The sequence below is a fragment of the Homo sapiens genome, chromosome 10 (assembly GCF_000001405.40).
Source record: "Homo sapiens chromosome 10, GRCh38.p14 Primary Assembly".
Classification (NCBI taxonomy): domain Eukaryota; kingdom Metazoa; phylum Chordata; class Mammalia; order Primates; family Hominidae; genus Homo; species Homo sapiens.
Genome location: NC_000010.11, coordinates 45,824,554 through 45,852,287, shown reverse-complemented (window position 1 = coordinate 45,852,287; position 27,734 = coordinate 45,824,554). Strand labels below are relative to the sequence as shown.

Here is a 27,734-nt window from a genome sequence, read left to right as displayed (position 1 = left end):
AAGTGTAGACTTTTCTATACATAATATCCTTTTTCCCACAGTAGTTTTTTTTTTTTTTTTTTTTTTTTTTAAAGTCTGGCCGGGTGCAGTGGCTCACGCCTGTAATCCCAGACTGTGGGAGGCCGAGGCGGGCAGATCACGAAGTCAAGAGACGGAGACCATCCTGCCTAACACGTTGAAACCCCGTCTCTACTAAAAATACAAAAAATTAGCTGGACATGGTAACGGGTGCCTGTAGTCCCAGCTAATCAGGAGGCTGAGGCAGGAGAATGGCATGAACCCAGGAGGCAGAGGTTGCAGTGAGCCGAGATCGTGCCACTGCACTCCAGCCTGGGTGACAGAGCAAGACTCCATCTCAAAAAGAAAAAAAAAGTCTGTTAAAATAAAGGTCATCAAAAGATCTTTTCCTAAACCTTTCCTTTACCAGAAATATCTCTAGAGTCACATGGTCCTTTCTCCCTTCTTGCTTTTGTAGGAGTCCAAAGCTAATCTGTCCCTGATCCAGATTGCAGGCACCTGTGCCTTTTGGGGCCCTTCTGCATTAGTTCTTCCTTCTCTTCTAACCTCAAAAATGTGTTTTCTCTGTTGGCTCTTTCCCTTTAACATAGAAGTATACTCACGCTTTTGTTGAATCTTGGAATAAAAGTCTTCCTTTACCACATATCTCCCTTTAATACTACATCTCTCTTCTCAGCCAAATACTTGGGAAGAGAAGCCCTGAGTTTGTGTCATTGTTTTCTCACCTCCAGTTCACTACTTTACCCACTGCCTGACATCCAGCTCGCTCACACACACACACACAAGCCCAATCACTAAGTTGCCATAGCTAATTTGTGGCTTTCCTGCCCTCCTGGCAAAATTTGACTCTGCATTGGGATAATACATGTTGAGTACCTATTGAACAGGCACTGTGCTAGGTGCTGCTGTTATAGATATGAAAAGAAGGCATCATCTCCTTTCTAACAACTCACAGGAGCAGCCATTCCTGATTCATATGCAGGTCTCTTGAGTCTCAGTGCTCACTTTTGCAAGCTTCACTTAATGCCGTGCAAATCACCCTATTCTCCAGGTCTTCTTTCTTCCCAGTTCTCCTTACTATACACAGCTTCTCAGGGCAGTCACCTCCACACCCATGGCTTCAATTGCTTTCTCCATTCTCTGAGAACAACAGAATTTTAAATGGCTTTTTTTTTTCATGTATTAGCTTTATTTTATACAAGGTGCCTCAATTGCTGTAACCATAGATTCAAAGTTGCTCCATGAAACTAATAAATGAAAAATGGTGATTTTTTAGCATGTAAATTTTAGGAAATTTCCCCAGTTACGCTTAATGGCTTGATTTAGTATGTATGTTATTTTTGAAAACATATGTTGGGATGTCACAAATGGACTTAGCCTACAGAGATTTATATTCAACTTTTGACCAGAGAGTTCCATTTTAATGTGACACTGAGAGTAAAAAACTGTCTTTTCCTCCTTACCTATTTCTCTTCCTACATTCTTGGCCAGGAGGAAGGCACTGCTACATACCCAGTCTTCCCCAGCAGAGCCTGAGCAGCTCTGTTTTCCTTCTACTTCCCCTCTTCTTTCACATCTCATGACCAAGCACTTCCTATTCTGTCTCCCAAATGATCACAGACTTTTTCCTCCGCTTTTGTCACTGCCACTGCCCTTAGCATTACTCTGCCTTTAGAGAAAGTCTCTTAATTTGTTTGGTTGCTTCCTTCAGTCCTTATTATACAGACCACTACACACACATCTGACAGAGACTTTTCACCTTTTCATGGTTCAATGACTGAAATTCCCAGAATAAAATTAAAACCACCCCAGCATCAAATTTGAGGTCAAATAGAGGTGGGTTTGTATCCCAGGTTCATATACTGTCCAGCAGTATGGTCTCAGAAAACTGACCTCCTTAAGGCTTTGTTTGTGTATCTGCCTACACTCATTGAGAGTTGGGACTATTTCACACATACAGTGCCTGGCATGTAGAAGGGACTTAATCAATGTTGAAAGAAGGGGAGGCATTTTAAAATCCACATCAAAAAAATGTTGTTCTGTTCGGGAGTGGTGGCTCACGCCTGCAATCCCAGCACTTTGGGAGGCCAAGGCAGGTGGATCACCTGAGGTCAGGAGTTCGAGATCAACCTGAGCAACATGGTGAAACCCCATCTCTACTAAAATACAAACATTAGCTGAGCATGGGGTTGGGCTCCTGTAATCCCAGCTACTTGGGAGGCTTAGGCACTTGAATGAGAATCACCTGGACCCAGGAGGTGGAGGTTGCAGTGAGCAACGATTGTGCCACTGCCTGGGCAACAGAGTGAGACTCTGTCTCAAAAAAAATAAAAAAAAAATTCTTTTAAAAATATACGAATCTGGCTGGGCACGGTGGCTCATGCCTGTAGTCCTAGCACTTTGGGAGGCTGAGGCGGGCCTGACCAACGTGCAGAAACCCCGTCTCTACTAAAAATACAAAATTAGCTGGGCATGGTGGCGCATGCCTGCAATCCCAACTACTTGGGAGGCTGAGGCAGGAGAATCGCTTGAGCCCAGGAGGCGGAGGTTGCAGTGAGCCAAGATCATGCCATTGCACTCCTGCCTGGGCAACAAGAGAGAAACTCCGTCTCAAAAAAAAAAAAAATAGTGTTCAGCAAGGTTGAAGCATAAAAGGTTAATAGCCAGAATCATTTATCAATTGTATTTCTATACATCTACAAGACACAATCTGAAAATGAAATTAGAGAAACAATTTCACTGGGCAACAAGAGCAAAACTTCATCTCAAAATAATAATAATAATAATAATAATAATCATCATCATCATCATCTACAATGTCATTTCCCATCCAAGCTTGACTTCTACCTTTACTTTCTGATATGGTTTTGCCATGCCCCCACCCAAATCTCATCATGAATTATAATCCCCATAATCCTGATGTGTCGAGGGAGGGGCCTAGGGGGAGGTGATTGGATCACGGGGGCAGTTATCCTCATGCTGTTCTTGTGATATTCAGTAAGTCCTCATGAGATCTTATAGGGTTTTGTTTTGTTTTGTTTTTTGGGATGGAGTCTTGCTCTGTTGTCCAGGCAGGAGTGCCATGGCACGATCTTGGCTCACTGCAGTCTCTGCCTCTTGAGTTCCAGTGATTCTCCTGCCTCAGCCTCCTGAGTAGCTGGGATTACAGGCATGCACAACCACACCCAGCTAATTTTTGTATTTTTAGTAGAGACAGGATTTCACTACATTAGCTAGGCTGGTCTCAAACTCCTGACCTCAGTTGATCCACCTGCCTTGGCCTCCCAAAGTACTAGGGTTACAAGTGTGAGCCACCGTGCCCAGCTGAGATCTGATGGTTTTATACATGTTTGACAGTTGCTCCTTCACATGTTCCCACTCTCTGTGCGGCCACCATGGAAGTCGGACCTGCCCTTCTGCCATGATTGTAAGTTTCCTGAAGGACTTCCCCCTCTGCCATGATTCTAAGTTTCCTGAGGCCTCCCCAGCCATGTGAAACTGAGTCAGTTAAACCTCTTTCCTTTAAAAATTACCCAACCTGAGGTATTTCTTTATATCAGTGTGAAAACAGACTGCTATACTTTCTGATAATCATGCTTAAGCAACTGGGGAATTCAGACTAGCTGGGATCAAACTATGGCCCCACCCTTAGCAGTCATGTGACCTTGGGGAGGTTGCTTACCTTCTCCGTCTCAACAACTTCTGCAAAATCTGTAACATGAGATTGTTTCTGAGGGTTAAATGAGCATAGCACAGTGGGGACACTGTCAGGCACACACTACTTGCCAGATGTCGAGTATTCATCTTTATTGAAATAGGACTGTGGTAAGCCACTTTATGGCTCTCGATTTTGTATGAGAAAATCATGCTTAGTGCCTTGTTAGTAAAAGAAAGAAAACCTGAAAGTCCCTGCCACGGAAGGAAGAAATAGCGGGGAGAAAAGGGAGTTGGTAAGTTTCAGCATTTCAGAGCTTGGAGGGGCAAGTTAGGTTTCTATTTTATGGAGAAGGAGGTGGAGGCAGGATGGGTCCTAAGGTGTCATTCAAAACACACAGCCATAACTCTTTATTGAGAGTAGAGCTAGGGCCCCAGGGATTGCTGTGGTCAAGTTGCGGACAAAAATGACCACTCGTTGGAAGACAGGAGAGGAGTGTTTAGTTACAAAAGCAGTCAACAATTCAGGTGTATCTATATTTAGTCAGCAAATAAAAGTTGTTCAACTTGGTTGCTAATTGGACCCACTCTACTGAGGCTTTGTATAGAACTCATAGAGGAAGATGGCTTCAAGTAATGAACTACCCTTTGCTTTTCTTAGGACTAAAATCTCAGGAAGCTGGTGATGAATGAAAACCTTAGTCCCAATGGCACTGCACGAGGGGCCAGGAGAGCAGCAGCATCATAAGCCACAGGGTGGGGCAGCCAAGGCAGGGGCATTCTGAGCTGTTGGGGAGGGGTGGCAGGCAGGGTGGGGCACTGTGAGGTGTCGGGGAGGGCATTGTGAAGTGTGGGGTGGGGCATTGTGTGCCACATGCCTGGGCTCCCACCTGGGGCCAGTGGGCTTCAGTCTGTAGGTGACTACAGAAGGAGGAGGAGCTCCGTCTGTTCTCTCTTCAGGCAGTTGTTGTGTCTCTCAGCACTTGTTGGGTTCACAACCTATTAAATAAGCCGGCTGGTCTTCACCCTCCCAGACAAGTCAACTCAGGGGAGGCAGCAGGGTGCGGGCCTTGGCCCGCAGCCCTAGCCGGGGCCGGGGCCAGGGCCAGGGCCAGGGCTGGTGCCCGGGGCCGCGCTGTGAGGTGGGCAGGCGAGGAGCGGGAAGACCATCTCTGCAAGTGCAGCATAGCCTCGGCCTAGGACAGCGGGAGTGCGTGGCCAAAGCTGTGAGCAGAGGCACAGGTGGTGGCAGACAGTAGAGGCGCCCCATGGGGAACATACTGACCTGTCGTGTGCACCCTAGCGTCAGCCTCGAGTTTGACCAGCAGCAGGGGTCGGTGTGTCCCTCTGAATCTGAGATCTATGAGGCAGGAGCTGGGGACAGGATGGCAGGAGCGCCCATGGCTGCTGCTGTACAGCCTGCTGAGGTGACTGTTGAAGTTGGTGAGGACCTCCACATGCACCACGTTCGTGACCGGGAGATGCCTGAAGGTGAGGAGGTGATAGGTGCCATCTACCCTCGGTTTGCCTCTGGCTGCTACTGTCCCCAAGGTTCCCTTTGAGGCATCCCCCACTTCGAGCTCCTTTCTGCTTGTAGCCAGCTTTCCCGGGAGCTGGCCAGGAACAAAAGCTGGCTCTGCCTTGAATTCCCACCCCTTAGTATTTCCCCACCGAGTCCAGTCAGTTTCTTTTCGCCTCCCCTCCCAATCGCCCAGTTCTTGCTCTCTCATCTCATTCTCCCAGGCTGGCATGGGACCATTTATTTATGGCTCTTGTCGAATAAGCAGCAGTTGAATAAATGAGTTGATAAATTTTTATAAATGATTACATCTTTTTTCTTTTCTCCCTCTATACATATAGCTTTGGAGTTTAACCTTTCTGCCAATCCAGAGGCAAGCACAATATTCCAGAGGAACTCTCAAACAGATGGTGAGACAACAGTGTCTGTAGCTCTGTTTATTATCCTGTGGGACTTTGTTTAGGCTTCTTTGAGCTATTCTCTTCCTTTTCTCAATAAAAACTCAAATATCCCAACTTTTCAGTACCCATCTTATTTTTTCTTTGTACCTATCCAGATGGTACCTAAGTGAAGGAACCAGGTAAGTGCCTAATTGTTTCCTTTGTTAAAGTAGCCAAATCTCAAGACAGTTCCTATTCAAATATTTGGGGATTTCTTATTTAAAATCAGAATGGAGTTTGCCATGGGAGAGGCTATATGGTATTCTTAATGGGCTGCTTTAAGTCACCTTGATAGAAGCTGCTTAGTTTCTTCTAACTGTAATTTGAACACAGAAGGAAAAAGAAAAAAGGAGAGTGCTTAAAATAATTGTGAAAGGTGTGAAATGTCACAGCCGGGGCTGCAGAAAAATGGTTGTGTGTGTGTGTTTGGGGTTTCTCAAAGGAGTTTACCTATGAAGCTCTTTTCTGTTAAAGTTCTTACTTTAACAGAAAATGTGTCTCCAGATTTATTCTGGTGACTTAACAGACTTTATTTACCTCCTTGTTCTAAAAGAGAGGTGGGGATTGGTTCATGGTCAAAACTTTCAAAAGACATGAAACGTCAATGTAGACTTTCAATGTGTAATATAAAGATTGCAGGTTAAAATGTCAGACCTTCCCTGTAAGAGTGTTTGTTGCCATGGCTCCCCCTTTGTCCCTTCCCCTCCTGACAATAGCATCTTGTTCAAAGATAAGAAAGTTACAGTTTTGGCTGGGCTTGGTGGCTCACGCCTGTAATCCCAGCACTTTGGGAGGCCGTGGCAGGCGGATCACCTGAGGTCAGGAGTTCCAGACCAGCCTGGCCAACATGGTGAAACGCTGTCTCTACTAAAAAAAAAATACAAAAATTAGCTGGGCGTAGTGGCACATGACTGTAGTTCCAGCTACTCACAAGGCTGAGGCAGGAGAATTGCTTGGACCTGGGAGGTGGAGGTTGCAGTGAGCAGAGATCACGCCAATGCACTCCAGCCTGGGTGACAGAGCGAGACTCCGTCTCACAAAAAAAAAAAGGAAAGAAAGTTGGAGTTTTTTAGTCTCTACACTGCTGGCAGAGGCAGGGGATGGGAGCCGGTAGAAAAGAGAAAACAATTAGTTCGTTTGCCTCTAAAATTTTGCAAAGAGATGAATCTAAGTAAAAGTAATTCTGGGTAATAATATGGTTCTTGAATAAAAACTGAAATTTTCAAAATAGAAAACATTGCATCATAAACATATTACATCCAGTAGGCTTATTGTTTTCATTTAAATGCCAGAGATTTCATCACTGTAGAGGAAATGTCTTATAGCTCTTCTATTTAAACTTTGGTTGCGCTCTTAATTTTTAAAGAGGTAGGATAATTAAGACTCATTATGAGTGTGACTTTGTAACTTGGAAGTACTATCTTCACATTTCAAGATATTTAAGGATTGCTTTAGAATAAACAAATGTATTATGTGAATTAATTGATTGTACCTTTATACACAAAGCATGTAAGTACTTGTGTAAACTTATACTCTGCTTGGTGATGTTCGGAAAGCCTGATGGATGTTACACACCAGTTAGTAGATGGGTAGTGTTGGATGAGAGCCCAAAAATGGCTCTTTATTGTCATTCTTTAGGATTACAACACAGTTTATGTATGTCTCACTTGGCCCTTTCCAATACAAATAAGGCCTGTGTATGTTCTCCCTATGTGTTGCTAACGAAGAAATGAAAACTTAGAGATATCACATGACTATGGAAGACAGCTACTCAAGAGAACTAAGGTTCTGTGTCCTCAGAATGAAATGGAAGTGACAGATATGATGAATTTACTTTTTAAAAATTTTAAAAACTCTAGAATACATCTTATATTTTGCCTATAAAATAGACCTGTCTTTTAAAACTTACTGCCATCTTGATTTATTTTATGCAAAGTTGATTTTACACAACTCAAAGCCAAAATTTACCTCTTCTTTTTTTTTTTTTTTTTAAATAAAGGAGGGTGTCATTATGTTACTCATGCTGGCCTCAACTTCCTGACCTGGGTTCAAGTGATTTTCCCATCTCAGCCTCCTGAGTAGCTGGGACTACAAGCATGTGCCATCTTGCCTGGCTCTCTCTTATGTCTATACATTCATTTCAATGGATAAGAATCAAAGTAGAGATAGTGAAATAGCCTAAATGCAGCAGTCGAATAAACGAGTTGATAAATTTTTATCAATGATTACATCTTTTTTTCTTTTCTTCCTCTATGCATATAGCTTTGGAGTTTAACCCTTCTGCCAATCCAGAGGCAAGCACAATATTCCAGAGGAACTCTCAAACAGATGGTGAGACGACATTGTTTTTTCCACCAAGAGAAAGAATAAAAGCTCTTGTTTGATCAGGTTATAGAAAGTATTTAGAAAAACTCATATTGGTTTAAAATTTTCATCTTTTCACATGTTCCCTTGTCTTATTTTAATATGTGATATACTTTCCTTTAGTTGTTATGATGTTAGTGAAAACGTGTAACCTTTTTGTTTATACATTTTGCCATCTTTTTATCAACACAATTAATTTGTGATGTGATGGAGGAGTCATGGATTTCTCTTTATAATTCTTGGATTTATCTTTATTTATAATTAATGGATTCATCTTTATTTACAATCCCTTTTCCCTTGCTCCAAAAAGTACATTTTAAAGATGAATGATAGAACTTCAGCTTGGTTTTCATTTAAACAAATTAAAAAACATAGTCGTTTATCATCAGGGATTGAATCTGTGATTTGGGCCTCCTCTTACACAGTCCTCTGACCACATTCATTTACCACATCCAAGTTTACGCTACTCAAAAGTTTTAGGTTATTAACTTTTTCATTTGATATAATGTAAATTTAAACATGCCTTACTCCTGCTTATTTCCCTTAATGTTATATTAAATCCTCATTTATTTGCCAACAAGCCATACACAGCCAAGTTTTCCAGTTGACTTAAACAGCAAGAACACAAGTGAGGGTTCTATTATAATGTGCGAAGTAATGCAGCACAGTAAAACACGGGAGTTTGTAACCTTTGTTTTTATAGTTTGAGTAGACTTTGCCCATCTTGAGTCAGTTATTTCTGGTTAGAATTTGTCTTCATTTTTTACATTACTATAAAGAGATACCTAAGGCTGGGTAATTTATAACAAAAAGAGGTTTAATTGGCTCAAAGATTTTCAGGCTGTACAAACATGGCTTTAACATCTGCTTCTGGTGAGGGCCTCAGCAAACTTACAATCATGATAAAAGGCAAAGGGGAAGCAGGTGGTTCCACACCGTGAAAGAGGGAGGAGAGAGGGGAAGGGGGAAGGTACCACACTCTTTTTTTTTTTTTTTGAAATGGAGTCTCACTCTGTTGCCCAGGCTGGAGTGCAATGGCACGATCTTGGCTCACTACAACCTCCATCTCCCAGGTTCAAGCAATTCTCCTGCCTCAGCCTCCCGAGTAGTTGGGACTATAGGTGGGCACCATAACACCTGGCTAATTTCTGTATTTTTGGTAGAGACAGGGTTTCACCATGTTAGCCAGACTGGTCTGAAACTCCTGACCTCAAGTGATCTACCCGCTTCAGCCTCCCAAAGTGCTGGGATTACAGGCTTCAGCCACCGCACCTGGCCAGTACCACAGTCTTTTAAATTACCATAATGAGAATGTGCTTATTACCATGGGGATGGGACCAAGCCATTCATAAGGAATCCACTGCCATTACCCAAACGCCTCCCACTAGGCCCTGTCTCCAACATTAAGGGTCACATGTTAACATGAGACTTGGAGGGGCAACATATCCAAAACATATCAGAATTGTATTTCCCAGTTCCTTCCAGAGGCATGGGCTTCTCACACCTAGAGAGCATGGAAGCAGTAAAAGAAAAGCTATTCCATGTCCCTCACTCTTCAGTGGTAGTAACTTTTGCCTACAAGGCCCTCCCAGCATCAAAGGCAGAGGCAGTGTAGGAAACAAAGCATGGCCCAAGTCCCTCTTGGGGCTTTTATTATTCTGGCCTCTTTTTAGGGAAAAAAAATGATTTTTTGTGCTGCAGACACCATGTCCAATTAGGTTTGTATACTTATTTTAACATCAAAATTTAGGCCAGGCTCTGTGGCTTACACCTGTAATCCCAACTCTTTGGGAGGTTGAGGTGGGTGGATCACGAGGTTAGGAGATCAAGACCATCCTGGCTAACACAGTGTAACTCTGTCTCTACTAAAAATACAAAAAACAATTAGCTAGGCATGGTGGCACGTGCCTGTGGTCCCAGCTAGTCCGGAGGCTAAGGCTGAAGAATTGCTTGAACCTGGGAGGCAGAGGTTGCAGTGCGCTGAGATCCCGCCACTGCACTCGAGCCTAGGTGACAGAGTGAGACTCCATCTCAAAAAAGAAAACAAATTTAAGATAGGTTACTTTCCAGTTGTGTAAAGACCATTTTTTAATTTTGTTTTGTTTTTAGTGACATATTAGTAGATAACCACTAAGTGTGGTTCAAGATGCTTACAGGGATTCTGTTGCATCTAGAGATAGGTGTCTGGTCAGGAAGTAGTTTTTAGAACTGTTAGCTCTTAGAGTCTGATAATTAAAGTAAGCTATGTGTAAATGCAGAATGAGAGAATACTAATGGATCATGGCTCATATATGCAACAGTTAAACTTTTTATTAGCTAAATTTTTCATCTGGCCTAATTTTTTTGCCCTTTTCTTTTGTACATGAGGATTCTTTCATTTGTGTGTAATAGAAACAAAAAGTAAACTAAATGAAAATCTAAGTTTTTAGATTTGACTTATGAAATTAATCATGCCAGATAATTTAAATTATATGTTATTGAAAATTTTTTTTTTAATGGAATTTTGTCTCATTTTTCATAGGAGTAATCAGTAAGATGTTAACAACTACTTTTATTTTATGGTATTTGTATCAGAAGTGACCAGTTTTTTTTTTTTTATTCTTAGTTGTAGAAATAAGAAGAAGCAACTGTACAAACCATGTAAGTAAACACTCAAATAGTTAAGAAATTGATAGTTTGACATAAAAGGATGTCTCTCTTGATTTCTTTAAATTACAATGTGGACCTGGTGGTGGTAGCATGGACCTCTTTTTGTGGATTTTCTAAATCTCTTCTATTTTCCTGAGTATTAAATTTATCCAGAAAAGTGCTTAGTTTAGCGTGTCCACCTTTTAAAGATTTCTGACATTTAAGTTAAATTTCAATAGTCCGGTTCAAAAGATCTGCCTTAAGGCTGGGCATGGTGGCTAACGTCTGTAATCACAACACTTTAGGAGGCCGAGGCAGGCTGATCATCTGAGGTCAGGAATTTGAGACAACCCTGACCAACATGGTGAAATTCTGTATCTACTAAAAATACAAAAGTAGCTGGGCGTGGTGGTGCATGCCTGTAATCTCAGCTACTCAGGAGGCTGAGGCAGGAGAATCACTTGAACCCAGGAGGCGGAGGTTGCAGTGAGCCAAGATCGCGCCATTGCACTCCAGCCTGGACGACAGAGCAAAACTCTGTCTCAAAAAAAAAAAAAAAATTGCCTTAAATATTTAATCTTATTTTTAATGAAAGAACAAAAATAGAATAGCTAAGTTAATTGCCAGCACTGTCTATTGACTTTCTGTCACAGCAGGTAAAAGCATACCTTCCCCGCTACACCATGATCTTATGTTTCTCCCTGTGTTTCTTCCAATTGTAGCACACTTTTTAATTAAATCAGTAATATTTACATGATTATGACTCTGCAAATATTATTCACTGCTAAGTCATATGGTGTTTTCACTGTGCCTCTGCATTCCATGTCCTTCATCCTGTCTCTGAAACAGTTCTGAAATCTGAGCACTTCTGCAATTCTCCTGGATCTTCTTTTTTCCTAGCCTACGTTAGTTTATCTATCCAAATATCGTTAAGTAGCCTCTGGGTGCTCTGTTTGCTTTCACATCCATTATTTTTTAGCATGAAGCTAATTTTCTGACTATATTCATTTGCCTGTTTTCTAACAGCTGTTTTCCCCCAAGTATTGTAGCATTTATCACATGCCTTTCAAAGATATTTTCCATCTGCGAAAACACATCTGTTCCTTTTTATGTTTGTGTGGGGGGCAACTTTCTTTGGCCTTTTGTCATCCTAGTTCAATATAGCGTGGGTTTCCCTAGATATGCTCAATGTCTGCTTTTCTGGGCTAACTCTTTAAAGTCTTTTGGTATCTCATGTAACTGCTGTCTTGTGTGGGATCGCCTGAGTCCTAGATTCTGTGTTTCCTTCTGTCCTGTTATCGTCTCTAGTTGTACTTGAACACATTTTCCTGTGTGGAGATGTTAAAATCCCTCCTCTTTGATAGAGAGTACACCTCTAGGTTGAATCTAAATTGTATGGTTCTGAAGACATTTTGCAGTTGTGCTCTTATTACAGTGTTGTTCTTGAATCTATTGCCAGTGTGTGATATGTTATTTACAACCAGGTTTTAGTTATCTGCGGAAGCTTTTTAGAATCTCTCTCTCTAAGGTTCTGAAATTTTATAACAGCTTGTTGGGGATCTTTTCATTTTATTGAGGCTACTAAACCTGCAGACTATCTCTTCTTGAGAATTTTTTTTTTTATTTTCTCTGTTACTTTTTTACTGATAGTCTTGTTATTCAGATGCTAGGCTGCTTAGACCAGTACGCCTGCATTGATTTTTAATTTTTCCCCTTGTATTTTTTTCAGTTTGTCTTTTTATTCTAGTTCTGGGATATTCTGTGACTTTATCCTCTACTATTTCTATTGAATTTTATATTTTTTGAGAGTGTTTTAAGATTTTTTTTTAAAGTTTTGCTCCTGATTTTGACTGGTCCTATCAATTCCTTTTTTCTATTGTTTTGATCTCTTTTCTTGGAGGCTTCCCTCCAATGTGTGGTGGTTCCTGGCCTGCTTTATTTGGAAGCAGGATTTCTGTTAACTGATAGCACTCAGTGTGAGGCCTTAGAAGCCTGACTAGCTTTTCATTTGGGAGACCTCAGTGTATTATCTGGGGATCTTTTTTGAAGACATTTCAGTTTCTTCTGAGAAGGATCTCCCAGTTTTCTGCCTGGAAAGTAAAAGCAGGCCTGGAAAGGAAAAGCAGAGTTAGCGAAGAAAGTTGGAGTTCCATTTTTGGTGTACAGTTTTCTTTATATCTCAGGTTTAAGCCATGGTATCTCTGAGCCAGAAATTCTCAGGTTTGATATATCCAGAGAACACACATCTAAGTTTCTTGTCAGATGGAAGGACAGGTGGACTTGGGGCTCTAGTTAGAGATTTGCAACTGACCTTGCTGGCTTTTTTTTTTTTTTCACATTTTACCCTACTTTCCAAAGTGCCATTTGCCTGTAAGTTCACAACCTGCCTTTAGTTCTGCAAGACAAACTGGCTCGCTTCTGTTCCAGTCACTTTCTGTAGGCACCAAAGTTGTGTTTCTGTGTTATTTACCACTCCTTTATCTACTTTTTATGTCTCAGCATTTATTAAAAATTATCTCTGTCAACCTTCTGTGCTGGTCATGGGTGTAACCTTTATTTTATGACTGATGAGGCTTCCGGAGGGAGACGAAATAAATTTGTGGTCAATCTATTATATTTAATCCAAATTTAGGACCTGTGTTTAAATCAAAGTCTAATTTGAGTATAATTAATGATATTAAGCCAGAGAATTTTTTAAATTAATGTATCTATAATAAGCATATTACACTTTTCTCCTAAGGCCTTGTTTAATATTTTCATTCAAAGTTTATCCACTGCCATATACTTCCCATTACTTCACAACATAGATGGAGCTGTTTTCCTGAATGCCCAAAGTGTTAGAAATATTTAAGTTAATTAAGATTTGTTCATTTTTAGCCTGGTCAACATCGCAAGTCCTCATATCTACAAAAAGGTTAAATAACAAATTAGCCAGGCCTGGTGGCATGCGCCTTTCGTATTACCTACTCAGGAGGCTGAGGCAGAGGATCGCTTGAGCTCAGGAGTTTGAGGCTGCAGTTAACTATAATTGCACCACTGCACTCCAGCCTGGGCAACAAAGGGAGACCCTGTCTCGGAAAAAGGAAAAAAGTTACTAATTCTTTAAAAACCTATCTAAAATTTGTCCTGCCCAAAAGGAGAGTGAAAAATATGAACTTTAGTCTTTGTTTTATTTTATGTTTGCTGAGAAAAATGCTGTACTTTATTTATTTATTTATTATTTCCATAGGTTTCTGGGGGAACAGGTGGCATTTGGTGACATGACTAAGTTCTTTAGTGATGATTTGTGAGATTTAGGTGCACCCGTCACCTGAGCAGTATCCGCTGAACCCAATTTGTAGTCTTTTATCCCTCACCCTCCTCCCAGCCTTTCCCCCAAGTCCCCAAAGTCCATTGTATCATTCTTATGGCTTTGCATCCTCATAGCTCAGCTCCCACGTATGAAAGAGAACATGATATTTGGTTTTCCATGCTGAGTTATTTCACTTAGAATAATAGTCTTACTTCCATCCAGGTTGCTGGGAATGCCATGAATTTATTCCTTATTATGGCTGAGGTGGTATTCCTCATATATATATATATATGTATGTATATCACGGTTTCTTTATCCACTCATTGATTGACGGGCATTTGAGCTGGTTCCATATTTTTGTAATTGTAATTTGTTTGAGTTCCTCATAGATTCTGGATAATAGCCCTTTGTCAGATGTATAGACTGTGAAGATTTCCTCCCACTCTGTGGTTGTCTGTATACTCTGCTGATTGTTCCTTTTCCTGTGCAGAAGCTCTTTAGTTAAGTCTCACCTATTTGTTTCTGTTGCATTTGCTTTTGTGTTCTTGGTCATGAAGTCTTTGCCTAAGCCAGCGTCTAGACGGGTTTTTCCAATGTTATCTTCTAGAACTTTTATGGTTTCAGGTCATAGATTTATGTCCTTGATCCATCTTGAGTTGATTTTTGTGTAAGCTGAGAGTTGAGGATCCAGTTTCATTCTCCCGCATGTGGCTTGCCAATTATCCCAGCACCATTTGTTGAATAGGGTTTACCTTCTTCACTTTATGTTTTAGGTGGCTTTGTTGAAAATCAGTTGGCTATAGGTATTTGAGTTTATTTCTGGGTTCTCTATTCTGTTCCATTGGTGTATGTGCCTATTTTTATATCAGTACCATGCTATTTTGGCGACTATGGCCTTATAGTATAGTTTGAAATCAGGTAATGTCATGCCTCCAGATTTGTTGTTTTTGCTTAGTTTTGTTTTGGCTGTGCCGGTTCTTGTTTGGTCCATATAAATTTCAGGATTGTTTTTTCTAGTTCTGTGAAGAAGGATGGTGGTATTTTGATGGGAGTTGCATTGAATTTGTAGATTGCTTTTGGCAGTATGGTCATTTTCACAATATTCATTCTACCCATTCATGAGCATGGGGTGTCTTTCCATTTGTTTGTGTCCATGACTTCATTCAGCAACGTTTTGTAGTTCCCAACGGCATATCAAAAAATAATCGGGCCAGGCACGGTGGCTCACACCTGTAATCCCAGCACTTTGGGAGGCTGAGGCGGACGGATCATGAGGTCAGGAGTTCGAGACCAGCCTGGCCAACATGGTGAAATCCCATCTCTACTAAAAATACAAAAGTTAGCCGGGTGTGGTGGCGCTCACCTGTAATCCCATCTACTCAGGTGGCTGAGGCAGGAGAATCGCTTGAACCTCGGAGGCAGAGGTTGCAGTGAGCCAAGATCACCACACTGCATATTCCAGCCTGGGCAACAGAGCGAGACTCCATCTCAAAAAAAAAAAAAAGATAATCCACCATGATCAAATGGGTTTCATACCAGGGATGCAGGGATGGATTAACATACACAAGTCAATAAATGTGATACACCACATAAACAGAATTAAAAACAAAAAATCACATGATCATCTAAACAGATGCAGAAAAAGCATTTGACAAAATGCAGCATCCTTTTATGATTAAAACCCTCAGCAAAATCAGCATACAAGGGTCACAGCTCAATATAATAAAAGCCATCTATGACAAACCCACAACCAACATGATACTGAAAGGGGGAAAAGTTGAAAGCATTCCCCCCGAGAACTGGAACAAGACAAGGATGCCCACTCTCACCACTTGTATTCAACATACTACTGGAAGGCCTAGCCAGAGCAATCACACAAGAGAAAACAATAAAAGGCATGCAGATCAGTAAAGAGGAAGTCAAACTGTTGCTGTTTGATGATGATATGATCATATACCTAGGAAACCCTAAAGACTCCTCCAAAAAGCTCCTAGAACTGATAAATGAATTCAGCAAAGTTTCAGGAGACAAAATTAATGTACACAAATCAGTAGCTCTGTTATACCCCAGAAGCGACCAAGCTTAGAATCAAACCAAGAACTCAACCCCTTTTCTGATAGCTGCAAAACTAAACTAAACTAAAATAAAATACTTGGGAATAGACCTAACCAAGGAGGTGAAAGATGTCTACAAGGAAAACAACTTTAGTATTTTTAATGGGTTAAAATGAGAGGCAGCAGGTACAGCAGAAGAAGTCAGTGCGTGGGCATCCGCATCCAATGGGTACTGCACCTTTGATGGTAAGGCTTTGGTTTTGACTTACTAAATTACTAGGTACGATTATTTTCTAGTTTTTGTCATTAAACCTTAAAACTACTAAGTAACCCCTTCCATTTCTTGTTAAATATTGTAAAATTTCATACTCTCATTTATGCTGCCTGACGTTAGAGTGTTTGTTTCTATTTTGTGACTACCTTAAATAATACCTATAAAGAGTAAACTGTTAGTAGTGTTTTTGCTGTAATTAAATGTAGTAAGACTTACCTTCCAAATGATAACTGAATTGTCAAACACTTGTCGAAGTTTTGGATTTACTCAAAATTCTATGCTCAGCAGCTGGAGGTAGGAAGAGTAAGGGCCCTCCCTTACTCTTATGGAGAGGCATACTTTCTCACAAGGGGAATACTCTGCAGGAATTAGCATCTTGTAAGCAGTGGTGAATTCAACTAATTAGTGTATAAAAATACATTTTTTGGTGTGGCTGCCGACAAAGAGATCCAAGAGGGTAGATGGAGTCGAGCTTGCTGAAGCAAGGAAAGAGAAAAGCAGTATTCTAGGCAGAGAGCAGGGGTAGAGCAGGAAAATGGCTAGGTGCAGGTCAGATGATTTATAGAATGCAATTGATCAAGTTTTGAAGTGAATGCAAAGTATTCTCCGAGAGTCTCATTTGAGTCATGTCTTGGCAGTCTTATTTAAACATGAAGTGAAAGTTAGATTTTTTAAGTTGTCATTTGTTTTCAGGGTGTGAGAGAATATGTAAGTGATACTCTTTTTATCCTCCACATAAGAAAATAGGACTAGAGAAACCTATGGCTTCCTCACTTGTTGGTGGCCTAGCAGCCCTGACACACAGAGCCTCTGAATCTGAAACACTTCTTTTGTAACAATATCACCTGAAATAATACATTTAGGATTAGTAATTTAGTAAATGCATTAGTCTTGTATTCACTGCAATAAAATGCTCTTGTAGCAGGATTATTTAATACATTACATTTTATCGTAGTAAATAAATAATAGAAGGGCTGGGCGCCGTGGCTCACGCCTGTAATCCCAGTACTTTGGGAGGCTGAGGCAGGCAGATCGCGAGGTGAGGAGATCGAGACCATCCTGGCTAACACGGTGAAACCCCGTCTCTACTAAAAACACAAAAAGTTAGCCGGGCACGGTGGTGGGCGCCTGTAGTCCCAGCTACTCAGGAGGCTGAGTCAGGAGAATGGCGTGAACCCGGGAGGCGGAGCTTGCAGTGAGCCGAGATCGCGCCACTGCACTCCAGTCTGGGCGACAGAGCGAGACTCCGTCTCAAAAATAAATAAATAAATTAATTAATTAATAGAAATTCTCAGCTGCTTTTTATTGCTGCAGAAAAAAAAATGAAATCTTATTTTAAACTTTTCTTTTTTTTTTTTTTTTTTTTTTTTGAGGCGGAGTCTCACTTTGTCTGCCGGCCTGGAGTGCAGTGGCGCGAACTCGGCTCACTGCAAGCTCCGCCTCCTGGGTTCACCCCATTCTCCTGTTTCAGCCTCTCAAGTAGCTGGGACTACAGGGGCCTGCTACCACGCCCGGCTAATTTTTTGTATTTTTAGTAGAGACGGGGTTTCACCATGTTAGCCAGGATGGTCTCGATCTCTTGACCTCGTGATCCGCCCGCCTCCACCTCCCAAAGTGCTAGGATTACAGGTGTGAGCCACCGTGCCCCGCGAAGCCGACTTTTCCCATTATTTTTAACGGTAATTCATAAAATCCTTGTTAGGTTTGATGACAGGTACCATATTAAGGGCAGCATTTTATAACCCATATCTTAAACATCATCTCTGGAAGTTGAGAGCCTCCAATGGGTTTTCTATAGAGTGCACATGATACCACACTCAGGCATTTCATGGAGTGTAAGACATATCTTAGTGCTTTGTCATTTGACATTTTAACTGAGAAAATAATACACTTTGATAAGTTTGACTTACACTTCCCTTCCCCTTCAGGTATCTACTGTGCGTTTCAGTCAACAATACAGCTTGTGTTCGACAATATTCCTTGATGACAGCACAGCCATCCAGCATTATCTTACAATGACAATAATATCGTGAGTACAACTATGCTGCCGAGGGACAGATTCCTTTATTCTAAAATTATTTCAGTCATTTGGTTGTCCTTTTCAGCAATCAGTTTAAGAAATTGGAGTCAACCATATATTGATATCCAGATTCTGAATATTAAGTATCAGTTTCTCTTTTAATCTTAGACGTCGTGGTGGAAGGAAAAATCAGTTAGCAAAGAAGCAATCCCAGAAACAGTGTATCTTTTTGATGCCTTTATGCCTTTAGACAATGTTGAACACAGTGAGAAGGATAGGTTCCCTTTATTGAATGTTTTTTGTGGAAACTTAGTTTTTCAATGCATCATAGGCCTAAATCAGTGTGCACTACTTTGGACATTATCCTTGGAAGAAGGAACAGCTTTTCTTCTTCTGGCACCACAGTGTATCTGCATTTGAATTTCTCCCATTGTGCATGAGCACCTCGTGGGCCACAAAGATGCGCTTTGAGAGCACCCTGAGATGAAGTTTATTTTAAAAGGAACAACAACCAACACCACCACCAGCTCCACAGGGGCTGTCCAGTGTACATTATTCTCATCTTCTTGGGTTATTAGTCTTGATTTTTAGAACACAGTTTGGAAAGTGCTAATTTAGAATATTAATGTCTTTATCTTTAATTTAACTTTTCATTCTGTACACATAACTAGCTTATAAACAATTTTGTTTCAAATGCACTAGCCTTTTTAACTAATTCAATTGTCAATAACTTTTACTTCAATTAAAAGTGGAAAGTTTACACTCATAATAATGTCACTTTCCTCCCTCCCTTTTAACAATAGTTGAGAGGAAATTGTGTTTCGAACAAAAACTGGACTCAAACTCTGTCTCAAGTCCTGAGCTTTGGGACCTATTGAGTAATCACTAAATGTCTGTAGTCAGCTAAGTCTCTTAAATCTCTGAGCACACATACACAAAAATTACTTTGACTAGAGTCCCTGGCTTCTTCTGAGTTCCAAAGATTTTGATATGTTAGCATATAATTCAAAAGCAGCTTTGAAGATTAATTTTGCTGAAACAAATTTCGTGCTTTTTTCCTCATTATTCTACTTTTTAGAAGTCTACTTTTGAGAGTATAGTAAGTTTTAATTTGCCACCAGCAAGTTTGAGAAATGATCATTTGGTGTATTCACTATTGGTGAAATAAAGTTATTGAACAAATTAATAGGGCAAATTGGCTTCAAGAAGATATTTTGAAAAATGTTTTATCATGAATCAGTAGTGCACTGTTGTCAGTGGGATAGGTGGAACTCGCTGAGATCACTTATGCAAGGTTTTTTTCAAAATACAAGTCTGCAAACACATGTATCTTCCCATCTCCACTTTCCCTCTATCTCTAGGCACTGAGAAGCCTTTTAGGAAAATCGGGATGGATGTGAGGCATCTTTCTGTGAAGAAAAGCATCCCAGAAGATTCTGATTTTCACCCCAACTCAATCATTCCAAACTTTGCTGCTGATTGAAATCACCTGGGAAATGTTTACCAAGAACCTTGATGCCCAAAGCCATACCCAATACTAATTAAATTAAAATGTCTCATGTGGAAGATGAGGCAGATATTAAAGCTTCTCAGGCGATTTTAATGTGCAGCAAAGTTTGACAGCCACTGCTTAATTTGAGTTTAGGACGAGAAACTGCTCCAATTTGGTGGGACCTTGGGCAAGTCAGTTTTAAGGTCTGTTTCCCTGATCTGTAAAACGAGTGTTGAATTAAATGTCACATAAGGTCATTGGTCCTTTCCAGCATGTAACTTTAAATTCTGTGATTTTAAAATTATTTCAGAGATGAAAACTACTTGAAGCACTATAGACATATCCATCTTACCTGCTAATGTTACAGGCTTTTTAAAAAGTGCTAATATTGTGTAGACCTATTAGTAGAATTGAGATTTGCCTTCCCTCAGTTGTTTTGAGCCTCACTCTACAAAATTAGCTGGGTGTGGTGGCACATGCCTGTAATCCCAGCCACTTGGGAGGCTGAGGCAGGAGAATCTCTTGAACCTGGGAGGCAGAGGTTGTGGTGAGCCGAGATCACACCATTGCACTCCAGCCTGGGCAACAAGAGCGAAACTCCATCCACCCCACCCCCCAAAAAAACATTATCTGGGCATAGTGGCACAAACTTGTAGTCCCAGCTTCTTGGGAGGCTGAGGCATGAGAATCGCTTGAACCTGGGTGGTGGAGGTTGTGAGGAGTCAAGATGGCACCACTGCAATCCAGTCTGAGCAAGAGAGACAGACTCTGGGTCAAAAAATAAATAAATACATAAAATAAATCGCATGGGACGAAAGGTTTCGTGGGTAGAAAAGCATATAACAAGGAAATCTGTTATTATTTATATATTGTAATCACCAACAGAAACGCGTCTTCTAACGGCATATTTCCTTGCATTTTGGTTCTCATATTTTTGTAAAAAACAAAGAAATGAAAACAAAGTGCCCTTATGGTACTGTTCTGAACTAGAAGATTTGAATTTCAGGGCCACTAGGAGAGTTTCCTCTGCCCCCCTTTTAAAAAATGTCTTCAGGCCTAACAAATGTTAACATCTATTGTTATGAATTTTTTTCCTTCCACAGTGTGACCTTGGAGATACCTCATCATATCACACAAAGGTGAGCTTTTTAGAAACCTGTCTTGTTATTCTAGCTAAGTACTTTGCAAGATATCAAGCTCAGTGTTAGGTCACAGCTCTAGACATCATAAGCTGTATTGTGCCTACTAAAATATTGAAGCAAATTATTTGTATTTTCTTTGTTCCTTAAGACTCTCATAATTCTTAAATGATTGAGAATCTCAAAGAGTATGTGTTTATATTGATTATATTGATATTTAGTGTGGTAGAATTATACAATTGAAATTTTTTCAAAATCTATTTTTAGTTTCGATTTCACAGCCTTACCACTGTTGATATTATGGGCTAGATAATGCTTTGTTGTGAGGACTGTCTTGTGCATTGCAGAGAGTTTAGCAGTATTCATGGCCTCTACCAACTAGATATCAGTAGTAACCCATGACCCAGGTTATAACAACAGAAAATATTCCTTGAGAACAGTATTGTTAACAGAATTTTTTCATTGAAAAATAACTTTTCTACAACAAAAAGTTGAGTAAAAAGTGCGTCATGTATTTATATTATTTAAAGTCTCTCATGTTGAGCTTAATAGGAGACAAATGGATTCTCTAGAGCTTTCTTTGCAATTTGCTTTAAAGCAGCAATAAGAGGTTGGGCACGGTGGCTCACGCCTGTAATCCCAGCACTTTGGGAGGCTGAGGCGGGCGGATCACAAGGTCAGGAGATCGAGACCATCCTGGCTAACACAGCGAAGCCCCGTCTCTACTAAAAATACAAAAACTTGGCTGGGCATGATGGCACGCACCTGTAGTCCCACCTATTCTGGAGGCTGAGGCAGGAGAACCGCTTGAACTTGGGAGGCGGAGGTTGCAGAGAGCTGAGATGGTGCCATTGCACTGCAGCCTGGGTGACAGAGCAAGACTCTGCCTAAACAAACAAACAAACAAAAAAAGCAATAAGCTGGTGGGGCGCAGTGGTTCACACCTGTAATCCCAGCATTTTGGGAGGCCGAGGTGGGTGGATCACTTGAGGTCAGGAGTTTGAGACCAGCCCGACCAACATGGTAAAACCCGCCTCTACTGAAAGTACAAAAAATGGCTGGGCGTGGTGGTGCATGCCTGTAGTCCCAGTTACTTGGGAGGCTGAGGCAGGAGAATCGCTTGAGCCTGGGAGGTGGAGGTTGCAGTGAGCCGAGATCTCGCCATTGCACCCCAGCCTGGGTGACAGAGAGCGACTCTGTCTCAAAAAAAGAAAAAAAGAAGCAATAAGATGACCTAACCTCATGCAAATATGTAGTTGGTAGAAGGTGTATTTTTAAAGTTTTCAGACAGTTGTGGGTATTTGTTAACACTAAATCAAAACTTCACAAGTGGTGGTTTCTTAAATTAGTTACGGTGGCATTTTACATATTAATAAATTTATTCCATCAGTACTCATTGATCTTTCTTGCACAGTAAATGGATCTTTTGCTCCATACTTGCATTTATAATATCATGCATTAGTTACTTGGAATATATTGGTTTATGTTTTATTGTGTCAAAAATCACTTTTAGTTTAACCACCAATCTTTCTTTAACACGCCTTTAAGTATTGAAAAGCTGCCAAGCCTACAGTAGAAGGAACAAGTTTTTCAAAGTCCACAGGAAAGCTTAAATTTTATCATTGGGAACAAATACGTATTTCCCTTGAAGTGACAACCTCTCACTTCATTTATTTTTGAGAATGATAGTTGAACTGGTTTTTTAGACCGAGTTTCACTCTGTCACTTGGCTGGAGTGCATTGGCATGATCTCAGCTCAAGCAATCCTCTCACCTCAGGCTCCTTTGTAGCTGGGACCACAGATGTGTGGCACCACGCCAGGCTAATTTTCTTATATGTTTGACAGTGACAGGGTTTCGTTATGTTGCCTAGGCTGGTCTCGAACTCCTGAAGGAGCTCAAGCCATCTGCCTGCTTTGGCCTCTCAAAGTGCTGGGATTTTACAGGCGTGAGCCACTGCGCTGGCCCAGTTGTACTTTTAAATAAAAATGATGTTCTGTGAAAAAAGTGATTTTTCAGTTCACAGTTAAATCACGGATTCTTTAAAAACAAAAAAAAAAAAAGCGCTTCTGGTTAACTTTCCACTTATTCAGAATATTAGAGACATGTCAAGATTTAACAACATTAATTTTTACTGCTTCATCAAAGACATTCTTAAGAAATTCAGGCTATGTTTTTTACCTGTAGGGGACAGTGAAGAATAGAATGACTACTAATGTAATTGGTACCACTGCCTTGATTTATGCTGAGAAACCAGCCATTGTACCCACTTTTGCTTTTATATAATCATGGCAAGTGTCAATGAAAAAGCAGGCAATGACTTTGTATTACTTTCACAAATTTTTAAAATTTTTCATCAGCTTTCTCAGGTTTAATTAGTATGATTCAGAACAGTGTTGGCCAGGCACAGTGGCTCAGGCCTGTAATCCCAGCACTTTGGGAGGCCGAGGCAAGCGGATCACCTGAGGTTAGGAGTTCAAGACCAGCCTGGCCAACATGGTGAAACCACATCTCTACTAAAAATACAAAACTTAGCCAGGAGTGGTGGCAGGTGCCTGTAATCCCTGCTACTTGGGAGGCTGGGGTAGGAGAATCACTTGAACCTGGGAGGCGAAGGTTGCCATGAGCCGAGATCACACCATTGCACTCCAGCCTGGGCAACAAGAGTAAAACTTGGTCTCAAAAAAAAAAAAAAAAAAAAAAAAAAAGAACAGTTATGACCTCTTAGGCCTTCTGGAAGGGGTCTTCGGGATCCCGAGAGGTCCACAGAGCACATTTGGAGAACCACTGGTTTATACACAGGCACAATGCATTAGTTTTACAAAGTTTAAAGTTCATCAAAGACTGGCGTCTTAAAAAGGCAGATGAGTTTGTCATTCAAACAACAGAAAGTACATAAATACATCATGAGAGTATACTACAGAGAACTAAAGAGAAAGGAAGCTAGGAAATCTGAATCACATTTACATTTATTAAAGTTTACTACAACTGCTTTGTAGAACATTCTTGTGTTTCAATGTGTGGTTAGAAGAGTGAAAATATGTTTGGTTTATTGCCATGGCCTGTTAGGGAGAGTCAATACTCACGGGCATTTCTGACTGGTTATCATATAAAAGACTTCACGGTACAGGCCATGATGTGCTGAGAAAGAAGAAGTCAGGAAACCCTCTGCAAGTCAGGATCCAAGAGAAGAATTCGTAAAAACTGCTTTGGTAAAGTAAACACCAAAGCACACAGGAGGCAGTATTTTACTAAACAAATATTATACTAAGATATTAACAGTTTTTGAAGTAATGCGCTTTCTTATTTTATAGAGATGCAGATAGATCTTTGAGCATACCTGATGAACAGTTACACTCATTTGCGGTAAGTGGCACTTTTATTGAGGTTGTATTTTCATCGTACACTTGTATCTGTTTCATGCTGAAGTCAAAGCCATCTTTTTTTAAATCTTCCCCATTTCATGTTGCATTTAGTCATCTTAAGTGTTGTAAAAAGAATGTGCTGGAGTAAGAACTGATCTGCAGCTCTGTTTAGTTAGTGAGCTAGTATGAGTAAATATACTATCCAAACAACAGAAAATGTATCTTTTTTTTTTTTTTTTTTTTTTTTATGGACTCTCTTTCTGTAGCCCAGGCTGGAGTGCAATCGCGCGATCTTGGCTCACTGCAGGCTCTGCCTCCCAGGTCCCTGTTCAAGCAATTCTCCTGCCTCAGCCTCTTGAGTAACTGGAATTACAGGCATGTGCCACCATGCCCAGCTAATTTTTTTTTCTTTTTTTTTTTTTGTAAAGACAGGGTTTCACCATGTTGGCCAGGATGGTCTTGAACTCCTGACCTCGTGATCCACCCACGTTGGCCTCCCAAAGTGCTGTGATTACAGGTGTGAGCCACCATGCCTGGCCCAGAAAATGTATCTTTTTAAAAGGTAATTGTGAGCTGTCTATAGGACCCTGCAAGCCACTACCCAATTTTTGAAGCCATTCCTCCTTCTGTTCCACACAGGTTTCCACCGTGCACATTATGAAGAAAAGAAATGGAGGTGGGAGTTTAAATAACTATTCCTCCTCCATTCCATCGACTCCCAGCACCAGCCAGGAGGACCCTCAGTTCAGTGTTCCTCCCACTGCCAACACACCCACCCCCGTTTGCAAGCGGTCCATGCGCTGGTCCAACCTGTTTACATCTGAGAAAGGGAGTGACCCAGACAAAGAGAGGAAAGCCCCGGAGAATCATGCTGACACCATCGGGAGCGGCAGAGCCATCCCCATTAAACAGGGCATGCTCTTAAAGCGAAGTGGGAAATGGCTGAAGACATGGAAAAAGAAATACGTCACCCTGTGTTCCAATGGCGTGCTCACCTATTATTCAAGCTTAGGTGATTATATGAAGAATATTCATAAAAAAGAGATTGACCTTCAGACATCTACCATCAAAGTCCCAGGAAAGTGGCCATCCCTAGCCACATCGGCCTGCACACCCATCTCCACCTCTAAAAGCAATGGCCTATCCAAGGACATGGACACCGGGCTGGGTGACTCCATATGCTTCAGCCCCAGTATCTCCAGCACCACCAGCCCCAAGCTCAACCCGCCCCCCTCTCCTCATGCCAATAAAAAGAAACACCTAAAGAAGAAAAGCACCAACAACTTTATGATTGTGTCTGCCACTGGCCAAACGTGGCACTTTGAAGCCACGACGTATGAGGAGCGGGATGCCTGGGTCCAAGCCATCCAGAGCCAGATCCTGGCCAGCCTGCAGTCATGCGAGAGCAGTAAAAGCAAGTCCCAGCTGACCAGCCAGAGCAAGGCCATGGCCCTGCAGTCGATCCAAAACATGCGTGGGAACGCCCACTGTGTGGACTGTGAGACCCAGAATCCTAAGTGGGCCAGTTTGAACTTGGGAGTCCTCATGTGTATTGAATGCTCAGGAATCCACCGCAGTCTTGGCACCCGCCTTTCCCGTGTGCGATCTCTGGAGCTGGATGACTGGCCAGTTGAGCTCAGGAAGGTTATGTCATCTATTGGCAATGACCTAGCCAACAGCATCTGGGAAGGGAGCAGCCAGGGGCAGACAAAACCCTCAGAAAAGTCCACGAGGGAAGAGAAGGAACGGTGGATCCGTTCCAAATATGAGGAGAAGCTCTTTCTGGCCCCACTACCCTGCACTGAGCTGTCCCTGGGCCAGCAGCTGCTGCGGGCCACCGCTGATGAGGACCTGCAGACAGCCATCCTGCTGCTGGCACATGGCTCCCGTGAGGAGGTGAACGAGACCTGTGGGGAGGGAGACGGCTGCACGGCGCTCCATCTGGCCTGCCGCAAGGGGAATGTGGTCCTGGCGCAGCTCCTGATCTGGTACGGGGTGGACGTCATGGCCCGAGATGCCCACGGGAACACAGCGCTGACCTACGCCCGGCAGGCCTCCAGCCAGGAGTGCATCAACGTGCTTCTGCAGTACGGCTGCCCCGACAAGTGTGTGTAGTATCTGTTTTATTTGACTGCAGTCTCCTTGGTGCAAAAACAAAATGGGAAAAATAAGGATAACTCAGAATTTCAAAAGGAAATCACAAATTCAGCTAATAATAGCATTTTCAGTACTTTTCGTAAACTAAGTAAATACACAAAATGTTGATTTTTCTGACCATAAGACGTATTTTATGTCCTTTTGCCAAGGTGGATTTGTTAGTCTCAGGCCCTCCTGGCCACATTGCCCAAGTCACACAGGCTTCTGTATTATGTATTTAGATAAAATGTGTGAAAATATATTTGAAATAAAGTTCATAAATATGCATTGATTTTTGTACACATGGCACCTCTTTTTCATTTTTATTTTTATTTTTTTTGGACGATGTTTTGCTCTGTCACCCCAGCTGGAGTTCAGTGGCGTGATATCTGCTCACTGCAAGCTCTGCCTCCCGGATTCACACCATTCTCCTGCCTCAGCCTCTCAGGTAGCTGGGACTACAGGTGCCTGCCACCACACCTGGCTAATTTTTTGTATTTTTAGTAGAGACGTGGTTTCACCATGTTAGCCAGGATGGTCTCGAACTCCTGACCTCGTGATCCACCTGCCTCGGCCTCCCAAAGTGTTGGGATTACAAGCGTGAGCCACCGTGCCCGGCCCATGGCACCTCTCTTAATTTATAAATTGAACTGGATGTGAAGTAATAATGTCAGTTAGTTGAGATAAGAGGGTTACAGATTGGCTGGGCGCAGTGGCTCACACCTGTAATCCTAGCACTTTGGGAGGCCTAGGCGGACTGATCACCAGGTCAGGAGATTGAGACCATCCTGGCTAACATCATGAAACCCCATCTCTTCTAAAAAATACAAAAAATTAGCTGGCCATGGCCGGGCCTGGTGGCTCACACCTGTAATCCCAGCACTTTGGGAGGCTGAGGCAGGGGGATCACAAGGTCAGGAGATCAAGCCCATCCTGGCTAACATGGTGAAACCCCGTCTCTGCTAAAAATACAAAAAAAAAAATTAGCCAGGTGTGGTGGCGGGCACCTGTAGTCCCAGCTACTCGGGAGGCTGAGGCAGGAGAATGGCGTGAACCCAGGAGGCGGAGCTTGCAATGAGCTGAGATTGCACCACTGCACTCCAGCCTGGGCGACCAAACGAGACTCCATCTAAAAAAAAAAAAATTAGCTGGGCATGGTGGCGGGCACCTGTAGTCCCAGCTACTTGGGAGGCTGAGGCAGGAGAATGGCATGAACTCAGGAGGCAAAGCTTGCAGTGAGCAGAGATTGTGCCACTGCACTCCAGCCTGGGCAACAGAGCGAGACTCGGTCTCAAAAAAAAGAAAAGAAAAAGAGGGTTACAGATCATTGCACATGGAAA

General features: G+C 41.8%; 1 protein-coding gene and 1 pseudogene across 7 annotated transcripts in view; both read left to right on the top strand.

Moving 5' to 3' along the window:
* The window catches only part of PARGP1-AGAP4 (PARGP1-AGAP4 readthrough), a 146,781-nt pseudogene extending 120,087 nt beyond the window's left edge, over nt 1-26,694 (top strand). The window contains exons 11-19 of one of the 2 annotated variants that reach the window (NR_160519.1): nt 4,976-5,163; nt 5,533-5,601; nt 7,894-7,962; nt 10,601-10,635; nt 18,172-18,272; nt 20,859-20,894; nt 24,208-24,259; nt 24,687-24,775; nt 24,898-26,694. The product of NR_160519.1 is annotated as a PARGP1-AGAP4 readthrough, transcript variant 2 (transcript). The remainder of the gene's footprint in view (nt 1-4,975; nt 5,164-5,532; nt 5,602-7,893; nt 7,963-10,600; nt 10,636-18,171; nt 18,273-20,858; nt 20,895-24,207; nt 24,260-24,686; nt 24,776-24,897) is intronic. The other variant, NR_160518.1, reaches the window with a different exon arrangement.
* AGAP4 (ArfGAP with GTPase domain, ankyrin repeat and PH domain 4) overlaps nt 1-26,694 on the top strand; it is a 29,097-nt gene extending 2,403 nt beyond the window's left edge. Inside the window, exons 2-12 of one of the 5 annotated variants that reach the window (NM_001393378.1) lie at nt 3,376-3,445; nt 4,334-4,428; nt 4,976-5,163; nt 5,533-5,601; nt 7,894-7,962; nt 10,601-10,635; nt 18,172-18,272; nt 20,859-20,894; nt 24,208-24,259; nt 24,687-24,775; nt 24,898-26,694. In NM_001393378.1, coding sequence (NP_001380307.1) covers nt 5,058-5,163; nt 5,533-5,601; nt 7,894-7,962; nt 10,601-10,635; nt 18,172-18,272; nt 20,859-20,894; nt 24,208-24,259; nt 24,687-24,737 — 519 coding nt within the window. In that variant the 5' untranslated portion in view covers nt 3,376-3,445; nt 4,334-4,428; nt 4,976-5,057 and the 3' untranslated portion in view covers nt 24,738-24,775; nt 24,898-26,694. Of the gene's footprint in view, nt 1-3,375; nt 3,446-4,333; nt 4,429-4,787; nt 5,164-5,532; nt 5,602-7,893; nt 7,963-10,600; nt 10,636-18,171; nt 18,273-20,858; nt 20,895-24,207; nt 24,260-24,686; nt 24,776-24,897 lie in introns of those variants that run through there. The other 4 variants (NR_171664.1, NM_001393377.1, NM_001276343.3 and 1 more) reach the window with 4 other exon arrangements.
* Nucleotides 26,695-27,734: the final 1,040 nt, after the last annotated feature.